The sequence below is a fragment of the Homo sapiens genome, chromosome 8 (genome assembly GCF_000001405.40).
Source record: "Homo sapiens chromosome 8, GRCh38.p14 Primary Assembly".
Lineage (NCBI taxonomy): Eukaryota > Metazoa > Chordata > Mammalia > Primates > Hominidae > Homo > Homo sapiens.
This window is the reverse complement of record NC_000008.11, coordinates 47,924,505-47,944,703: the sequence shown is the minus strand read 5'-3', so window position 1 is coordinate 47,944,703 and position 20,199 is coordinate 47,924,505. Positions and strand designations below refer to the sequence as shown.

General features: G+C 40.9%; 1 protein-coding gene and 1 long non-coding RNA gene across 3 annotated transcripts in view; one reads left to right on the top strand and one right to left on the bottom strand.

The window, feature by feature from the left end:
* Positions 1 to 20,199, top strand: part of PRKDC (protein kinase, DNA-activated, catalytic subunit) — a 187,026-nt gene that overhangs the window by 15,433 nt on the left and 151,394 nt on the right. For both annotated transcript variants that reach the window (NM_001081640.2, NM_006904.7), the window contains exons 8-21: positions 675 to 730; positions 821 to 851; positions 1,338 to 1,495; positions 5,007 to 5,153; positions 8,187 to 8,351; positions 8,804 to 8,972; positions 9,646 to 9,695; positions 10,614 to 10,739; positions 11,532 to 11,684; positions 13,917 to 14,032; positions 14,692 to 14,851; positions 15,526 to 15,612; positions 16,814 to 16,933; positions 17,351 to 17,510. In NM_001081640.2, coding sequence (NP_001075109.1) covers positions 675 to 730; positions 821 to 851; positions 1,338 to 1,495; positions 5,007 to 5,153; positions 8,187 to 8,351; positions 8,804 to 8,972; positions 9,646 to 9,695; positions 10,614 to 10,739; positions 11,532 to 11,684; positions 13,917 to 14,032; positions 14,692 to 14,851; positions 15,526 to 15,612; positions 16,814 to 16,933; positions 17,351 to 17,510 — 1,698 coding nt within the window. The remainder of the gene's footprint in view (positions 1 to 674; positions 731 to 820; positions 852 to 1,337; positions 1,496 to 5,006; positions 5,154 to 8,186; positions 8,352 to 8,803; positions 8,973 to 9,645; positions 9,696 to 10,613; positions 10,740 to 11,531; positions 11,685 to 13,916; positions 14,033 to 14,691; positions 14,852 to 15,525; positions 15,613 to 16,813; positions 16,934 to 17,350; positions 17,511 to 20,199) is intronic.
* Positions 164 to 3,278, bottom strand: LOC105375818 (uncharacterized). The gene is made up of 3 exons (XR_007060906.1): positions 3,018 to 3,278; positions 1,940 to 2,474; positions 164 to 564 (listed from the first exon to the last, which is right to left on the bottom strand). It is a non-coding gene; the product is annotated as an uncharacterized LOC105375818 (long non-coding RNA).

Genomic DNA, 20,199 nt, shown 5'->3' with positions numbered 1-20,199 from the left:
ATAGCTACAATGAATAATGTGGTGGGAGACAGTTATGCAAATAATTGTGATGTCAGTCAGGCCAGGATTAGAGCCTCATGTTATAGTTATGTGCCTGTTTTATCTTCCCTTTTAGTTAATAAGTATGCTGAGGTCAAAGATCATAATTTATTTGTATTTGTAATTGTCATAATATCTTGGCATGTACTATGTTTTTTTTTCTGTTTTTTTTTTTTTTTTAATTTTTTTCTTACATGTACTAGGTGTTGAATAAATGCCTGGGTGTATTGGGGAGAATGGTATGTTTGGCCATGAGTAAGTTACTTTATTTAATCCTCCAGACTATCCTAAAAGGTATATACGGTCCCTATTGCAAATAAGAAAATTGAGGCTCTGAGAGATTATCTAACAGAGCTTTTAAGTGATGAGTTGGTGTTTAAATCTCTTAGAGCTTGTAAGTGATAGGTTGGTGCTTAAACCATGTCTTTGTTATTCCAGATTTTCTTTCTGTTTTCTCGCAGTCATAACCGTGCAGCAGTAATAACTTGCAACTTTAGCTGGATGGAATGATGAAAGATGTTTCTCCTGAATTCACAAGAGATTAATGGGGTTAATATAGGTGTCAAGCTGTCTGTAAAGTGTGTTATGTGATACTGTTATTACGATTTGTAACAGGCTTCTTGGTATTTCCCTAGATCCCCAGACTTCAAGGGAGATTTTTAATTTTGTACTAAAGGCAATTCGTCCTCAGGTAGGATTAATATTACTATTAATATTATTCTAATGCCTTTACAGTGCAGACTTTCAAATACTGATGGTGAATTTTTCTTTTCTAAAATAGATTGATCTGAAGAGATATGCTGTGCCCTCAGGTAGGATTCTGTTTATAATGAGGTATAATATTTTAGATTACTAAATTAACATCTCAAGTAAGCTTTTGCTTAAACTTTGAATGAAAGCAAATGTGATAACATCTGTGATGTTTCACACACAGTTATTTACAGGGAGGCTTTCGGTGACTTAGTAAGCTCTGGTTGAAATGCTGATACTCAGGTTACATGGTTGAAAGCACTTTATTTTAGGGTATCTTTCAGGGGATCCAGGCTGTTTGATTCTGACTTTGCCTCAATGAATCCTGATTCCACTTCTGACCCTTGTTTTGGGATTTGTCAGCCAAGTTATGGGCCTGTTAATTGGTAGTGTTAGAGCTCTGACAGGAATCCCTGGGTTACTGTAGTGTAATGGTACTAGATCTTCCTGAGCACAGTGTTGACTTTGACATATCCCTGCAGGTTTGTTGGTTTTCTGTTCTGTGTTATGTCGTCTGATTTTAAATATAATGGCATTTGCATTTGCAGCTGGCTTGCGCCTATTTGCCCTGCATGCATCTCAGTTTAGCACCTGCCTTCTGGACAACTACGTGTCTCTATTTGAAGTCTTGTTAAAGTGGTGTGCCCACACAAATGTAGAATTGAAAAAAGCTGCACTTTCAGCCCTGGAATCCTTTCTGAAACAGGTACCACAAATTCAACTGTCATTTAACAATATTTCTTTCACACACAGAATTAAATTCCCTTTGCATGCATGCATGTTTGAAAATAAATACAAGTTGATCTGTAGCTTCTGTAGTATTTAAAGCAGAAAGATGTTGATCAGCCAGCCATATGGGAGGCAGCCAGACTGAAAGAGAGCTAGGGAGATGCCAGATTTGATTAGGGCCTCAGAGCCTAGATTGAGACAAGTGTAATGGAGCAAAGACGTGGTGAGGTGATGGCCGGAAGGGCTGGGAGGTCAGGGCTGGAGAGTGGGTGGAGGGCTGAGGGGAGCCCCATCTCTCCTGGAAGAGGAGGGCTAGCTGTCTCCAGGGGATAGATGCTTGTGTGTCAACTTGAAAACAAGGGGTGCCTCTTTGCCATTGTGGATTTTCCACCTGGATAGGAGGTGGTTACAGAATCTGTACCTGCGTATGTGGAAGCTTGTCTGGTCGGCTGAGGAGACCGTGCTTGTCATTCTGAGCACTGGTCTCCAGGATGTCCTGGGTGTCCAGAGGTGGCTGCAGGGGCCTGGCCATTAAGGAAGTGGACTTCTGGGGTTGCTCTGAGGGAAAGGACTGGAGATTCACAACAAATGTTTTCTTAGGGGCCCTGCTGTACATGGGTAAACAGTAGCTGCATTCACAGGGTATCCATGCAAACCTGTGTGAACAGTGTGGCAGTTGTGTTAGCCTGAGAGTCACAGCCGGGATGTGTGGAAGGAGAAGAGAGAGCACTGGCATCCTTTTTTCATGTCTGGGCCTGCCTTCCAAAAAACTGAGCCGATGGGCCTCATCTTTGGCCTCTGCCTCTGCCGCCTGTCCCTCTCGCCTCCTTAGTCTCCCTGCTGTACTTGGCCTTCCCGTCAGACTTGTGTTCCCCCTGAAGTCACTCTTGGCTTTGAGGTTACCTTGGTCCTTCTCATAAAACTCCTGTTACGCTGAACTTGGCTGGCCTTACTTGCTAAGGGAAATAAAAATCAGAGGAATTATTTTTTACTGATTCATATGAATATGTTTGGATCTCAGTAAACATTTACTGCGATAAACATCTTGACAGAGAGAATTTCATGCCTTGTTAGCAAGGAGGAGTGTCCGGAATGTGTGCAGAGGGATCATCCCTGGTGGCACCCTGGGGGCCTTGTTCCCTAGCGATGCCTGCCTTTCCTAGCACAGGGCTGGGTGGGGCGTGGGCCTGCAGGGAAGCCGGCCAGCCCTCCCTCCACTGCGCTGGTTGTCTTTAATGAGCCACGCAGACATCTCTGTTTCACATCCTTGCCAGAGACTTTTCAGTCCCCCACTCCAATTCTTAATGAAAACTACATTGAATAGATTTTAGAGTTTCATTGAGGAAATATATTCTACCTGCTAATCTCTACCTCGTGAGAAAGTTATTTGAGCTTAGTCAGGGGAGAAGTTCAAGAGAACTATCCTCAATGCTGCCCTCAGGGCTGATGCCTGTTGCAAGTTTGGGAGTTTGCAATATACCCTCAAATTTGATACTCACATCTATGGTTTATTACAGCTAAAGGGCCCAGATAAAAATCAACCGAAGGAAGCGGCACACAGTGCAGAGATGAAGAAAGTACCAAATGTGGATCTTCCCTGGTCCTCTCCCCGCAGAGTCAGGGCAGCATTCCTTTCCCAGCATCCATGTGTGGAGCATTGACTGGGTGCTCCCCCAAACCTCTGTGTTTGGGGTTTCCCTTGGGGCCCCACCCTGTAGGCATAGTGGGTTGTTGGGTCTCGGCTTCCAGGGATGCTGTGTGACCCAAAGCTCCCATTCCGAGTCACATTGTTACCAGGTGTGGTCAGCTCCACCCTGAGTCCCATTATTAGATCATCCCTTGTGACCTGAGGCCCCAGGCAAGGAGAGGCACCCTCTTTCCCTCCTTCTTCAGAATAGGGAGTGAGGAGAGAGGAAGAAAGAGGGAAAGAGGACTTTACATAAAGGATACATAATTTTTTGGCCTTTTTTCCACTATGTTGAATATATTTTCCTCACAGTGACATCTATATGATGTGTTTTTTTTGTTGCTGTTTTTTTGGTTTTTTTTTTTTTTTGAGATGGAGTTTTGCTCTGTCACCCAGGCTGGAGTGCAGTAGCGCAAGCTTGGGTTACTGCAACCTCTGCCTCCTGCGTTTAAGCAATTCTCGTGCCTCAGCCTCCCAAATAGTTGGGATTATAGGCACCTGCCACCGTGCCTGGATAATTTTTGTATTTTTGTTAGAGACAGGGTTTCACCATGTTGGCCAGGCTGACCTCAGGTCATCCACCCTTCTTGGCCTCCCAAAGGGCTGGGATGACAGGCGTGAGCTACTGCGCCCGGCCAACATCTGTGTGATTAATTTTCAGTGGCAGTGTAATATATGATATTTATGAGCCATAGTGTTTTAATCTGTCCTCTGTCTGCTACTGTTGAATAATTATTTTCAAGTCTTTAATACTATATCCAGGAAATAGTTGAATAAAGATGCGTTAAAAACATGCTTACTGGGAATACAATAATAGAAAATTAGCATTATAGTATATAATATTTGCTATTCTGTAATTAAGTAAAATGCTGTTGTTTACTTCTTGAGAAACATTTATGATATGTTTTGTGAAGAAGGAAATTATGAAACAGTATATACAATGTTTCATTCTTCTAAAACAAATAAGGAGCAAAGTTCCCCGAAGGTCAGGCGCTAAGACCTAGTGGCTTTAGGGGGATTGGGAAGTGTATGGATAAGTTGGCAGTGGAAGGTGGATTTTTTTTTCTGCCTTTGATAATTGTCTAGATAGATTTCTTCCATTCTTATTCTGGGCAGTCTTTGTGCTGAAATGGGGAATGCTCTTTGAATACCTGTATTAGTTCTTGCATTTAGGCTCTTGTCTCTTGGTTTGGTAAATAATGATCTATTTGCTTCTCAGACGACATTTTCCCCTTGCATCACTTAATTTAAGCTTTATAGTTTGTAGCTTATTTTTTTGAAAACTGAGATGCTTTGTCTTTCTGATTGTTCTGAACTCTATTTATTGATGACGTCTGAAGTCACTGGTCCCCTGACAGCTCTCTTTCACCCTGTGGGTGACAGGTGAGATTGTTCTGAACTCTGTTTATTGACGATGTCTGAAGTCACTGGTCCCCTGACAGCTCTCTTTCACCCTGTGGGTGACAGGTGAGCTCTAAAGACTGCTCTTTGCTTCCTCAGAGAGCCTTAATTCAAAACCTGTTTTTGGTTTTTTTTTTTTTTTTTTTTCAGACTTATGTGTATCCTTGGTCTCTTAGTCCCTTCTCTAGGAAAAATGTATCACATAGCCTTATTTAAGACACTTTTCTGAACCTGATAGAGACTAAGCAAAATGGAAGCAAAGGGTCTTTATGATTAAAAGCAATTGCGTGTAACTATAACAGTACATTAGTAGCATCTAAACAGTTCTAGTTTTTCCATGTTTGTATAGATTCCATTGCTATTAAATATTTCCAAAAAAATAAATATTATGTATTTGCAGGTTTCTAATATGGTGGCGAAAAATGCAGAAATGCATAAAAATAAACTGCAGTACTTTATGGAGCAGTTTTATGGAATCATCAGAAATGTGGATTCGAACAACAAGGAGTTATCTATTGCTATCCGTGGATATGGACTTTTTGCAGGAGTATGTCTCATTAACTTACTCTATTTTGTCTTGGTTTCACGTGATTGTTTAAAGGAATCTAATTCATTGCATTTTGAATAGTGTCTAATACTTGTAACAATACAGTAGACCCTTGAATAACATGGGCGTGAACTGCACAGGCTCACTTACATGCAGATGTTTTTCTACCATACGGATCAAAAATACAGTGTGTGCTGGATGTGAAACTTATATAGAGGGCTGACCTTTTGTATATGAGGCTTCCACAGGGTGACTGTGGGACTTGAGTATGCATGGATTTAGGTATACTGAGGAGGCCTGGAACCAATCCCTCCCGCATGTACTGAGGGTCACTGTATTAGTATTGTTTATTAACAGTTAAGATTTCTTCAGTGTCTGCTGTGTACTAGAATTCTTTACATGTGGTATCTCAAAATCTCCTAACCCTTAGGAGCTCAGTATTACTCTGTTTTGCAGATTAGCAAACTGAGATGCAGAGAAATTAGGAAACTTGTCAAGAGACTCAGAATTGACAGAACCAAGGCATAAGTCCAAGTGTGAAGAATAGAAACACCATGTTTCCCCTCTGTGCTATGCTGCTCCTTATTCCTAAAGTAAAATTGTAGTTGATTTCACAACGTTTTAGGAAGAGAAGTTAAAAAAAAAGTTTATATGACAGAAAGAGATATATTTAAGAATATTAGCTAGGTGTGGCGGCCCACACCTGTAATCTCACCATCTCACCGCTTTGGGAGGCCGAGGCGGGCAGATTGCCTGAGGTCAGGGGTTTGAGACCAGCCTGGCCAAGGTGGTAAAACCCTGTCTGTACTAAAAATACAAAAATTAGCCGGGCATGGTAGCACATACCTGTAATCCCAACTGCTTGGGAGGCTGAGGCAGGAGAATCTCTTAAACTCAGGAGGCAGAGGTGGCAGTGAGCTGTGATCGAGCCACTGCACTCCAATCTGGGCAACAGAGACACTATCTCTTAAAAATTTTTTTTTAAAGAAAAAATATTGAGAATAACCCTAGTTATTTCCTCTTAGTGGAATTCTGTGACTTCTGCTTTGTAGAAAAAACAACTGATTTCTTTTTTCTTCCTACAATCTCTCCCTTTTTTTCTTCTTTCTTTTTTTCTTTCTTTTTTTTTTTTAATTTTTGAGTTGGAGTTTCGCTTTTGTTGCCCAGGCTGGAGTGCGATGGCATGACCTCGGCTCACCACAACCTCCACCTCCCGGGTTCAAGCAATTCTCCTGCCTCAGCCTCCCAAGTGCTGGGATTACAGGCATGCTCCACCACACCTGGGTATTTTTTTTTTTGTATTTTTAGTAGAGACAGGGTTTCTCCATGTTGGTCAGGCTGGTCCCGAACTCCCGACCTCAGGTGATCCGCCCACCTTGGCCTCCCAAAGTGCTGGGATTACAGGCATGAGCCACCGCTCCTGGCCTCTCCCTTTTTCCTTTCTTTTTCTTTTTTGCCTCTCAGGCTGGAGTGTAGTGGTACAATCATAACTCACTGTAGCCCTGACCTCTAGGGCTAAGCAATCCTGCTGCCTTAACTTCCCGAGTAACTGGGACCACAGACATGAGCCACCATGCCCAGCAAATTTTTTAATCTTTCGTAGAGACGATATCTCACTTCGTTACACAGACTGTTCATGAACTCCTGGCTTCAAGCAAACCTCCCGCCTCAGTCCCCAAAGCACTGGACTTACAGCTGTAAGCCACAGTGCCCAGCCTTTCCCTTTTTCTTAATCTTCATCTCCATTTGTCTCTGTTGGCGACTTTAAATATGCTTAGGGCAGAAGAAACAGAATGGCAGAAGGCTCTGAGCTAAAAGATTGCATGAGATTTTCCCTTTACACAGTGATCTATCCCCACTTGAGCTTGTCCCTGTGGCTAGAGCATGATAGGCAGGAGAGGGGAAATGGATCTGAAGAGGTGCACCATCAGATCCTCGGGGAGCCTGGACTAGATTCAGAAGTCCTAGAAAAGAAGCCTTGGAAAAGTCTGAAATTGAGCAATTACATTAGCGCATTTGTGAGTCTGAAAAAATGGCTCTGGTGTGGTAGGGTGTGTGACATGGAGCATCTTCCAGTCATGTATGGACTCCTGGCCTCTCCTGTAGGTGGACAGCCTTGGGGCAGGGACTGCCTCTCATTTGTCCTCAGTACCCACTGTCTAAACAGTGCCTAGAACATAGCTGACAACCAATAAATGCTTCCTGTGTGAATAAATATTTAAAATGTGGTTACAGATTATTATACAAAGCATCTTTATAATGAGATATATTTTATTTATTTATTTATTTTTTGAGGTGGAACCTCACTGTTGCCCAGGCTGGAGTGCAGTGGCGCGATCTCAGCTCACCGCAACCTCCGCTTCCTGGGTTCAAGTGATTCTCCTGCCTCAGCCTCTTGAGTAGCTGGGATTACAGTTGTGCGCCACCATGCCTGGCCAATTTTTTTTTTTTTTTTTTTAAGTAGAGACGGGGTTTCACCATGGTGGTCAGGCTGGTCTCAAACTCGTGACCTCAAGTGATCTGCCCGCCTCGGCCTCCCAAAGTGCTGGGATTACAGGCATGGGCCGCCGCACCCGGCCAGATACTGTATTTTATATCTGTATTTCTTCTTAATTAAAAAGCTTGTGGCTGGGCACAGTGGCTCCCGCCTGTAATCCCAGCACTTTGGGAGGCTGAGGTGGGCAGATCACCTGAGGTCGGGAGTTTGAGACCAGCCTGACCAACACGGAGAAACCCTGTCTCTACTTAATACAAAAAAAAAAAAAAAATAGCCAGGCGTGGTGGCACATGCCTGTAATCCCAGCTACTCGGGAGGCTGAAGCGGGAGAATCACTTGAACCTGGGAGTTGGAGGTTGTGGTGAGCTGAGATCACGCCATTGCACTCCAGCCTGGACAAGAGCGAAACTTCGTCTCAAAAAAAAAAGAAGCCTTGTTAAACTTGTGTTTATAATCACATGGCTTAACATGACACCTTAAATATTATTTTGATCTTGATAAGATTGATGAAGACTTCTGTTTTACCTTTTCTAAAGCCGTGCAAGGTTATAAACGCAAAAGATGTTGACTTCATGTACGTTGAGCTCATTCAGCGCTGCAAGCAGATGTTCCTCACCCAGACAGACACTGGTGACGACCGTGTTTATCAGATGCCAAGCTTCCTCCAGTCTGTTGCAAGCGTCTTGCTGTACCTTGACACAGTAAGTGAACTAAACTGAGCACAATTTTAAGTATTTAATCTTCATTTCTTCAAATAATTTGATGGAGTCATACAATACATTTAGTGTAGGCACTGTTGGGAACAACATGACAGTTTTAGTTAGTACTTTGTGGCAATAGAATTATTGTCATGAAACTCGATTTTTTGTTATCCAGAACAGGAAAAAAATATTTGTTTCTCCTTCCATCTTTCTGAAAGATTTGGAATTGTTGCTTGGGATAGAATTGCACCTCAAGACAATTTTTACTCTGAGTGTGTGTTTTTTTTTTAAGGCAATCACAGTAATACATGTTAAGCAGCAGGTTAGATGACAAACCATGTTTTTCTTTTAATAAGTATCTAATTCAGTTGTAATTACTTTGAATATTTGTATTATTCCTGTATTCATTGATTACCTCCTCTAACTCACGGTTTGCTGATTATTTCCGGTAGGTTCCTGAGGTGTATACTCCAGTTCTGGAGCACCTCGTGGTGATGCAGATAGACAGTTTCCCACAGTACAGTCCAAAAATGCAGCTGGTGTGTTGCAGAGCCATAGTGAAGGTGTTCCTAGCTTTGGCAGCAAAAGGGCCAGTTCTCAGGAATTGCATTAGTACTGTGGGTAAGTTTGCAATTTATTGTATTTATGAGTAATGATGGATAATTAACACATTATTTGATATAGGTAAAGAGAATCTGGTTACCAAATTCTTTTGTATCTTTGACACAACTTTTGAACTCCTAAATTTTGGTAGACCAAAATCTTTTCCTTTTTTTCATCCTATTACCTCTGAATTTTAATAGTTCTATTAATAGAACTATTAATTTTAATAGTTTTTTTTCATTTTTTTTGGTGACAAGAGTCTCGCTCTGTCCCCCAGGCTGGAGTGCAGTGGCATGATCTTGGCTCACTGCAACCACTGCCTCCTGGGTTCAAGCGATTCTCTTGCCTCAGCTTCCAGAGTAGCTGGGACTACAGGCGCCCGCCACCATGCCCGGCTAATTTTTGTAGTTTTAGTAGAGACAGGGTTTCACCATATTGGCTAGGCTGGTCTCGAACTCCTGACCTTTTGATCCACCTGCCTCAGCCTCCCAAAGTGCTGGGATTACAGGCATGAGCCACCGCGCCTGGCCAATAGTTTTAAGTTTTAAAATTAAAGCCGTGAATGAACTTAGAAAATAAATTGAGAGGTAAAGTTGGGTTCCAAAATATAATGACTGTTTGTTTTTTTTTGTGAGTTTTGATTCTGTTTTTCAGTGTTTCCTTCATTTTTGTTTTCTTTTTCTTTTTTCAGTGCATCAGGGTTTAATCAGAATATGTTCTAAACCAGTGGTCCTTCCAAAGGTAAATTCTGAATTTAATGTTTAGAAAATTAATCTGTTATCACTGAAAGCTAGGAATGTTGCTGAGGTTTTCGAATATAATTTTGCAAAAGTGGCCGTTCTTTTCTTAGTTATTAGCAATGCCTTACATTTTGAAAAGTGTAGGACATAATACCTCTATATTTTGTTAGGTGAATACACTTCTAAGGTATGAAACATCTTTAAGCATAACTTTAGGTTTTATACATTTTTGTAAATCAGAAATGTTTTCTCTCTTGAAACTCTAGGACAAATTGCTAAGGGAGGCATATCTTAGTTCCCAGAAATTATAGGACATATGATGAGATGAAAGATTGAACTATGTACGAAAGCAAGATAAATGATGATAGCACATTCAGTGGATATTGTATTGAAGTACTTGTTGGTGTATCACAGTTTTAGTCACAGAAGAATCACATATTTTTCCGTTATCTATTTATTTATTTATTTATTTTTTGAGACAGAGTCTCGCTCTGTCACCCAGGCTGGAGTGCAGTGGCACGATCTTGGCTCACTGCAACCTTCCCCTCCAAGGTTCAAGCGATTCTCCTGTCTTAGCCTCCCAAGTAGCTGGTATTACAGGCGACCGCCACCTTGCCCAGCCAATTTTTGTGTTTAGAGTAGAGACATTTTGCCATGTTGGCCAGGCTGGTTTCAAACTCTTGACCTCAGGTGATCCGCCCACCTTGGCCTCCCAGAGTGCTGGGATTACAGGTGTGAGCCACCGCACCTGGCCTTAGCTTTTTAAATTATGCTTTTTTAATACGATGTCTTCCTTAATCATATGGTCTCCTATGGGTGGCAGTTTAATTTAGAAAATTCTGAAAACCAGCATGTTCTGGCAGCAGTGCTGCTTCTGAGAATCCATCACTACATATTGTCATGCTGTCTTTCTGGCCAGGGCCCTGAGTCTGAATCTGAAGACCACCGTGCTTCAGGGGAAGTCAGAACTGGCAAATGGAAGGTGCCCACATACAAAGACTACGTGGATCTCTTCAGACATCTCCTGAGCTCTGACCAGATGATGGTAACATTTACCATTGAAAGCCATAAATGTACCTTACTTCCTTTATTAGTCTCCATAGTTTAGACATAAGACTTATTTCAGAATTATATTTTACTAACTTTCAAAAGTTTAAAACAGTGTACTTCAAAAATAAAAAATTAAAACCGTATGAATCAGGAAGTTAGAATGAGAGTGGAAATAAATGAATTGAAAGAAACACAGACATAGAACTCCTTTAACATTAGTTACTGTAGCTGAGTCCTCATTTTAGCTTTAAATAGCAGGATGGTATAGCTCATGCTAAGCTGTTCTTCCTAACAGGTCCAGCCTGAGGATGGATATATATGTATTTGTACGTATGTATGTATGTGTACGTTTATATATGTGTGCATATTTAGTTATGTATGCACATAAGTATATGTGCATGTACTTACATGTACACAGACATAAAAGATATAGTGTCTATATATGCATATTACACATATTTGTGTTTATACATACACATCCACAGATTAATTGGGGTAAATGCTTTGACAAGGATTGGCCTAAATCTTCTCACTTACTGCTGTATACAGAGTAAGTATTTGTTACATGACTGGATAAATGACATCTGACTGAAATGATGCTGTTATAATAATTTAGGAAGGTATCTTGCAACTTGAAAACTTCCAGGTAAATCTGCTGCAGTTTATCATCACTGTTTCCATAATACCCAAACCGGCACATACATCTGTGTATGTGTCTTAATGCTTATAAAATACTAATACATTTTTGCACAAGATTTTGAAGTTTATTGTTTTTCTTTATTTAAAGGATTCTATTTTAGCAGATGAAGCATTTTTCTCTGTGAATTCCTCCAGTGAAAGTCTGAATCATTTACTTTATGATGAATTTGTAAAATCCGTTTTGAAGATTGTTGAGAAATTGGATCTTACACTTGAAATACAGACTGTTGGGGAACAAGAGGTTAGAAATTTTTATCAGTAGTAATTTTTCATCATTTTTGTATCAGCTGTCTTTGCATATAAATATTTAGGGGACAATAGCACATTTGTAGAGGAGAACTGGAGAAAATTTGGTTCTTCAGGATTATTATGTGCCACTGATGCATTTCTGTTGGATGTAACCTATTGTATAGAAAATGTTGTTACTAGATGGTTCAAAAAGTAATTTATATATGTTAATTTTTTTTTTGAAAAAATTATTTACTAGGTTCATTTGTTTCTTATTCCTTAGCAATAGTAAAGAGTGACAGAAATCTTATTTTATGTAGAAATGACTTTGTATGGGATAGGGAAACCTGGGGTTGCTCTTGTTTATAGTTAAGGAAACTCCAAATTGTGGTACAAGGTGTTAAATGTGTTCCTGATATAGGAAAATATAGATAATAGGAAGAGAAATAAGAAAATGCCCTCCCTTTTTTTCACACCCAATTTTCCTAGCCTGAGTTAAAGATAAGTCATGGCTTAGGCCTGGCGCGGTAGCTGAAACCTGTAATCCCAGGACTTTGGGAGGCCGAGGCAGGCAGATCACGAGGTCAGGAGATTGAGACCATCCTGGCTAACACGATGAAACCCCGTCTCTACTAAAAAATACAAAAAAAGGCCAGGCGCGGTGGCTCATGCCTGTAATCCCAGCACTTTGGGAGGCCGAGGCAGGCGGATCACAAGGTCAGGAGATCGAGACCATCCTGGCTAACACGGTGAAACCTCGTCTCTACTAAAAATACAAAAAATTAGCCAGGCATGGTGGCGGGCGCCTGTAGTCCCAGCTGCTCGGGAGGCTGAGGCAGGAGAATGGCATGAACCTGGGAGGTGGAGGTTGCAGTGAGCCGAGATTGCACCACTGCACTCCAGCCTGGGCGACAGAGCGAGACTCTGTCTCAAAACAAACAAACAAACAAACAAACAAACAAAATACAAAAAAAATGAGCCGGGCGTGGTGGCGGGCACCTGTAATCCCAGGTACTCAGGAGGCAGAGGCAGGAGAATGGCGTGAACCCGGGAGGCGGAGCTTGCAGTGAGCTGAGATTGCGCCACTGCACTCCAGCCTGGGTGACAGAGTGAGACTCCATCTCAAAAAAACAAAAGGATAAGTCATGGCTTAAGTCTGGAGCTGCCCTGCTCTGGTCCGAGGCATTGGTGGTAACTGGACTCCATGGTAATTTGGCTGGTGAGAAAGAACTAAGATCCTGGGAAGGTGTCTTGCTTGCTTTCGACTGCAGTGATTGTTTCAGACCAGATGGTGCTGATTCGAGTTCATGCGTCAGTACCTCCACTGCAGTCCTGAGAAGTTAGACAAGAGGCAATGGGGAGGATGTGCAGAGGAAACATGAAGGGACACAGTACAAGCCGGTGGTCACATCAGCTTTATTGCACTTGGAGTATTCTGTTTTTCATGCGGGATGATAGGTAGCAACACTGATGTGTGGTTTATTGCTCTCTGTGCTTTGCAAATGTCTAAAATAATTTTATTAAAAAAAAAAAAAACTTGCCCAAAGGGACTTCCTGGAACTGTGTCAGCTGACAGACCTGCATTTTAGAACATGTGTGTTCATTGCTGTCTTCAGTGGCTTCCCTTTCTCCTCTGTTCCCTGCCCTTCCAGCTTCATTCCAACAGATCAATGACCACCTGTTAGCACTTCCCAGATATATTTGGTCTCCAGCCTCCTCCTCCCTTGTTGGTTCCTGCTCTGTATTTCTAACTACTTGTGCAACATTTTAATTTGAATACACAGTTGTGTTTGGTAACACAAATTTGGTGACACAAACTTAGCGTGTTTAAAACTGATCTTCATGCACTTCCAAAATACCACATTTTTCATTTATCTTTCTTACTACTGTTAATAATTTCTCTATTTCTCTTTTTCTTCACTTGAAATCTCTAGGTCACCTATTAAAATTCTATCTCTGTCAAGGCATTATTGCTAGCTCCCTCAAGAAGTGCTGCCCACCTCTGGCATTTTCCTATTTGTCCCATTCTCTCATCACTTCCTGTGAGTCCTTTTGGTTAACGCTTTCTGCAAGTCCTGCCCTTCTTATCAGACCATAGGTCTTGAGCACCCATCTTGGTCTTTCTCGCTGTTGCAATCTTTCTTCGTAGCATCAGGCCTTGACCATGAAGTCAGTTGGAAAGTTATTTGTTGAGTGATTCGTGATTGAATGGTACAATGTTTCTTTGCTACAATTACTCTTTAAGAATGGAGATGAGGCGCCTGGTGTTTGGATGATCCCAACTTCAGATCCAGCGGCTAACTTGCATCCAGCTAAACCTAAAGATTTTTCGGCTTTCATTAACCTGGTGGAATTTTGCAGGTATTTGGTAAAATTCTAATTATTTAAGAATGAAAATGATTGTTAGTTATTGGCTGTAATATAGGAAATTCCTTATATAGATGTAAGAAATGAAATAATAGGCCGGGTTCGGTGGCTCACGCCTGTAATCCCAGCACTTTGGGAGGCCGAGGCAGGTGGATCACGAGGTCAGGAGATCAAGACTATCCTGGCTAACATGGTGAAACCCCATCTCTACTAAAGATACAAAAAATTCGCCGGGCATAGTGTCAGGCGCCTGTAGTCCCAGCTACTCGGGAGGCTGAGGCAGGAGAATGGCATGAACCCGGGAGGTGGAGCTTGCAGTGAGCCGAGACTGCGCCACTGCACTCCAGCCTGAGCAACGGAGCGAGACTCCGTCTCAAAAAATAAATAAATAACAAATAATAAAAGACAAAATCTGTAATCGATTATATAGATCTTTAAAATATATCTAAGTGTACTAGGTTACAGTTTTCATTTTTTATATTTAAAAGATCCTCAGGTAGAGAAAAATGGATTATAGATATAACTAAACATTTTAGGATACCTCAAAATGTTACGTGATGGGTTTGTAGCTTAGTTGTTCGATTATGTCCCTTACAATTTTAAGATCAGAATGATACAAATTTCTACCTTCAATTTCTAATTTGTTTTTACAGAGAGATTCTCCCTGAGAAACAAGCAGAATTTTTTGAACCATGGGTGTACTCATTTTCATATGAATTAATTTTGCAATCTACAAGGTTGCCCCTCATCAGTGGTTTCTACAAATTGCTTTCTATTACAGTAAGAAATGCCAAGAAAATAAAATATTTCGAGGTGAGTCTTTCTTGCAGGATGTTGAATCTTGCGTTTTTTTAGGTCATGAGTATATATAAATGTATCATAAAATATGTGATTGTGGCCTATGCAGTTTTAAAGTCTACTAATTTTATTCTATGTGTTTAAAAAAATTGATATGTGAATGGCAGTTGGATAGCACTCTAAAAAGCTAGCAGCATTTTTTGCCCTGATGCTCAAACACCTGGCTAATTATGTAAGATTAACAAGGCCTCTCAAAGTATGGTCCCAGGACCGGCAGCCTTGAGCATTGCTTTCTGCATCACAAACCTTGGGGGCAGGTCTCTGCTGCCCTGCTAAGCACCACCAGGTGATTCTGGCACCCAGTGAAGTTTGAGAACAACTGGATTAGCATTCTCGACGCTCCAGTCAGTCACATGAGGAGCCCACCTGGGTAATTACAGGGTGAGATGAGGAAGAGGGAATGGACTTAGCTGTGTGCTTGGCTTCTCACTAGCTGCCACCTTCCCTCCTCTTGTTCTGACTAGCCTGTGCCTTGAAATGTCTGCAGAGCTGATTCTGCCTCCTGTCTTCATTAGATGTTGGTAACTTGAAATGGATTCACCCCTCTGAAGACAGGCTAGGAACTACTGGATTGGGATACAGTCTCCCGATTCTTGTTCAGTGTACTAACTTGCTGTTTTATTTGACAGGGAGTTAGTCCAAAGAGTCTGAAACACTCTCCTGAAGACCCAGAAAAGTATTCTTGCTTTGCTTTATTTGTGAAATTTGGCAAAGAGGTAATTTTTAAATGATTTATCTTAGTGTTATCATGAACTGTTTTTAAATGAATATCTATTGAAAAAATCCTAGTGATCATAAATAATTATTTTAAGAATTGGGGCTGGGTGCGGTGGCTCATGCCCTTAATCCCAGCACTTTGGGAGGCCGAGGTGGGAGGATCACAAGGTCAGTAGTTCGAGACCAGCCTGACCAATGTAGTGAAACCGTGTCTCTACTAAAAATACAAAAATTAGCCAGGCGTGGTGGTGCACGCCTGTAATCCCAGCTCCTCAGTAGGCTGTGAGGCTGAGGCAGGAGAACTGATTGAACCCTGGAGGCAGAAGTTGCAGTGAGCTGAGATTGCACTACTGTACTCCAGGCTGGGTGACACAGCGAGACTCTGTCTCAAAAAAAAACAATTGTGTCAGGTTAGGAGGCTGGGGGAGGAGAATCGCTTGAACCCGGGAGATGGAGGTTGCAGTGAGCCGAGATAGTGCCACTGCACTCCAGCCTGGGGAACAGAGCAAGACTGTGTCTCAAAAAAAAAAATAAATAAATAAATAAATAAAAATAAAAATGTGTTTGCTAAATCTGGAGCGGGACTAAGGTCCTAAAAAAACTAATTAGAGGAAGTTATTGTGCTTCAAAAGTCCCTCAGCCAGGCACTTTGGTTCGTGCCTGTAATCCTAGCACTTTGGGAGGCCAAGGTGGGTGGATCACTTGAGGGCAGGAGTTCAAGACCAGCCTGGCCAACATGGCGAAATCCCATCTGTACTAAAAATACAAAAAATTAGCCAGGTGTGGTTGTACATGCCTGTAATCCCACCTACTTGGGATGCCGAGGCAGGAGAATCGCTTGAAGGATGGCAGAGGTTGCAGTGAGCCGAGATTGCACCATGCACTCCAGCCTGGCTGACAGCACGACTCTATCTTACAAAAAAAAAAAAAAAAAAAGTCCCTCAAGCTCTCTTAACATAATTCAGTTGAGTGATGACAACTCAAGATGAAATAGATTCTTGTTTTTCCATGTAGTAGGTATTAAGCATTTCGACAAATTAACTTTCCTGGAGGTTAGTGTGTAATTTGTAAGTGAATGTGGTCATGTCAATAAAGGCTACGTGCCAATTTTTGTATTTGAGAATAGGGCAAATACTTTTTAGTTGATTTTCAAATGTAGGCTCTATTCAGATATACATTACTGTCTTCTTTCTTGTTAAGGTGGCAGTTAAAATGAAGCAGTACAAAGATGAACTTTTGGCCTCTTGTTTGACCTTTCTTCTGTCCTTGCCACACAACATCATTGAACTCGATGTTAGAGCCTACGTTCCTGCACTGCAGGTAGGCGTTGTCTTGAACAGAGCCATCTCTTCATCGCTGTTGTGAGTCCCAGAGCACATAGAAACACCATCCTCTTGCCCTGGCAGTCCCAGCAGGCGTTTCCTCACAGGCGTGCCCGGGTCAGGGTCTGCTTCTGCCACTTACTGGCTTTGGGACTTAGACCCTTGGTGACTCTGAACTGCACTTGGAGGTCGATGTGAGAGTTAAACCTGTGTGCCTTGAAAGGCTGCGGTATACCACAGCCACAGAGACAGCTGCTTGCTTTCCTCCTAATTACCTGGACTGAACTCTCCAGCGGTGTCGGGCATCCAGTAATAAAAAGGAGTATTAATTAGAAATCACAATTACTTGGTGTTTTTTTCCTCTAAATCTTATATTTCCTGCGTTTCAGTTTAACTTGTTTGTATTAACATACAGATGGCTTTCAAACTGGGCCTGAGCTATACCCCCTTGGCAGAAGTAGGCCTGAATGCTCTAGAAGAATGGTCAATTTATATTGACAGACATGTAATGCAGCCTTATTACAAAGACATTCTCCCCTGCCTGGATGGATACCTGAAGACTTCAGCCTTGTCAGGTAATGTTTAGAAGAATTGTGATGTGTATTGTAATTAAAATGGAAATGGAGTAACTATAATAGGTAGGACTGTATTTTTGTAACTTCTGAAATTTAAGCCCAGTGTGTTCAAAATATGTTTGATTGCTATTTTTGTAATTTCCCTAATTTATCTGACTCTAATTGTGATAAAGAAATATAGTTGAGGTATTAAAAAATTTTTCATTTACTCACTTATAGCTTACTAAGATTTATAAAATCTTCAAAGACAAGTACTGTCTTCAATACCTTGAAATTTTTATGACTCCTAATACACTGCTTTGCAAAAAAAACTTGTTGAATAAATCAGTCAGGAATTAAACACTTCAGAAAATTCAACAGTAATTTTGTATTTTTACTTTCACTAGATTTTTATTGCTTTTTAAAACATAACTGGTGAAGCACACTAATGGTAGCTAAGAATTGCGAAAAAAATGTCATCATAGAAAAAACAGGTTTGGGAAAAGAGTCAAAGAAAAAAATTATCTGCCCAGGTCAAAATATTACTAGTCAAGAAAAGAAAAAGTAGGACTTCAGAGTTGGGGTGGGGCACAGACTTAAACTGGAATGAAAAGAGACATTGTCATCCGATGCAAGCAAAAAGATTCTGTTGGGAGAAAGACTGAAGTATTTGTAAGAATTTAAGCTTTACTATCTTCACAGTAGAAGTCAAGTATTAATTTATAAGGTTTTTTTCTTCATGAGGCCAAAAAAAGAAATACAGAAAAAAAATTGTGAGGTTTTACCTGTGTAAATCATTATTTTATTGTTAAATCTTATTGGCTTGGAAACATTAAGTGAAAGTTGTGTGACAGATTTCATGCACTGTGTCTCCTTTTTCTGACATCCTCAGTGCATATGCAGAGTTCATGAAGAAAGAGTCACGATTTTTTTACAGATTGTAATAACAAGCATATTTTAGAGACCAAAATTACAAACTAGTTAACCTTTATAGCTTTTAAAATTCACATTTATATAAGGAGTGCCATTATTTGAGTATTCATGACAAATACATCACTTAGTAAAATGAATATATCTGATAGCATATATCTTTATAGTATTTAATTTTCTTTTTTGAGTTCTGTTAACTCATTGAAAAGTTTTAGATTAGTAAAGGAAGTTACTGTGATTGTTTTAAAGGATTTGCCTGTTAAACATGTACCCTATCTAGATGATTCGATAATTGAGAAAAGCAGAAAGTAAGCAAAATTAGGTGACAAAACAAAATCTATCATGTTAGAGACAGAAGTTAGTGTTTTAATAACTTTTTTTGATGTATCAAACTTCCAGAACAATTGCAGGAACAGTAAAAAGAACTCCATGTGTTCTATCTAGATTCACCAGTTATTAAGATTTTGTACCATTTATGTTGTTGCATGTACTTTCTCTATTGTGTGTTTGTGCATGTTTTTATATTTACATGGGACATTTTTTTTGGAACCGTTTGTGAATAAGCCGAAGGTGTCATAGATCTTGAAGACTTCATTGTATATTTCTTAAGAGTGAGGACATTCTTTTACGTAACTACAGTATTATTATCAAAATCCAGAAAAATAACATGGATACATATTCTTCCAAGTAACAGTCAATAGGCACATTTTTCACTTGCCCTATTAATTTCTTTTTTTAGCTGCATTTTTCCTGGTTTAGAATTCAGTGTAGGATCATGTGTTACTTTTAGTTGTAACTCTTTAGCTTTCTTTAATGTGGGATAGTTCTTCAACCTTTCTTAGTTCTCATGACTTGACATTTTGAAGGCTGCAGGCCAGTTATTTTGTACAGTGTCCTTCTATGTGGGTTTGTCTGATGTTTCCTCTTGATGAGTTTTGGGCTGTGCCTTTTTGACAGACGCTGGGTTCTCTTCAGGACACTTGGTGCCTTTGCTGGTTGTTTCCACTGTAACCATTTGGTCAGTGTTTGCATCATCTTTTTGTGGTTGTCAGGTTACTGTTTTTCTCTCTGTGTGAGTTAGTAATTTGAGGCATTCCATGCTCCACTTTCTGGAGTGATCAGTCCTGAGGCCTTTAGGTGGTACAGAGGAAGGTAGATGCTGGGCAGGGGGAGGTCCCAGGTGCTCCCAAGGGTGTGAGGAGGTCATCCCCCATGGGGTGGCCTGGCATGGGGTTTACCCAAGCCAGATGAGGCACCCACGTGTTGGGACAGCTGTCTGGGATGTTGGGGTGCAGGCAGGGTGAGAAGGGCGATGGAGGTAGTAGTTTGGTTACATACAGGAGATTGAACAAATACATAAATTCATTGAGAATAAGGGAAACTAGGTTTCTCATGTTGAAGTGAGCTACAAATACAGAAAGACAGGAAACTGGAATGGACACTGTGGAGTTGCATTGGAAGTGGGTATATCAGTGTGAACCCATGGTCCTCCGTCTCCCTCTGCCTCTCCCCAGTTATATATGTGCATTCACTTATGGATGCATCTAAATAAATGTGAAAATAGAACTGAGAGAGAGAGAGTGTGTGTTTGTGTGTTACATGTACTCTGGCCACTGAAGGGACCTCTAGGAGTGTGGTATCTGAATAGTAACAAGCAAACCTGGCACCCAGGTCATGGCCTCCAAATCTCATTTTCCTTTTTTTTATTATTATTATTATTATTTTGAGACAGAGTCTCACTCTGTTTCCCAGGCGGGAGAGCAGTGGTGCAATCTTGGCT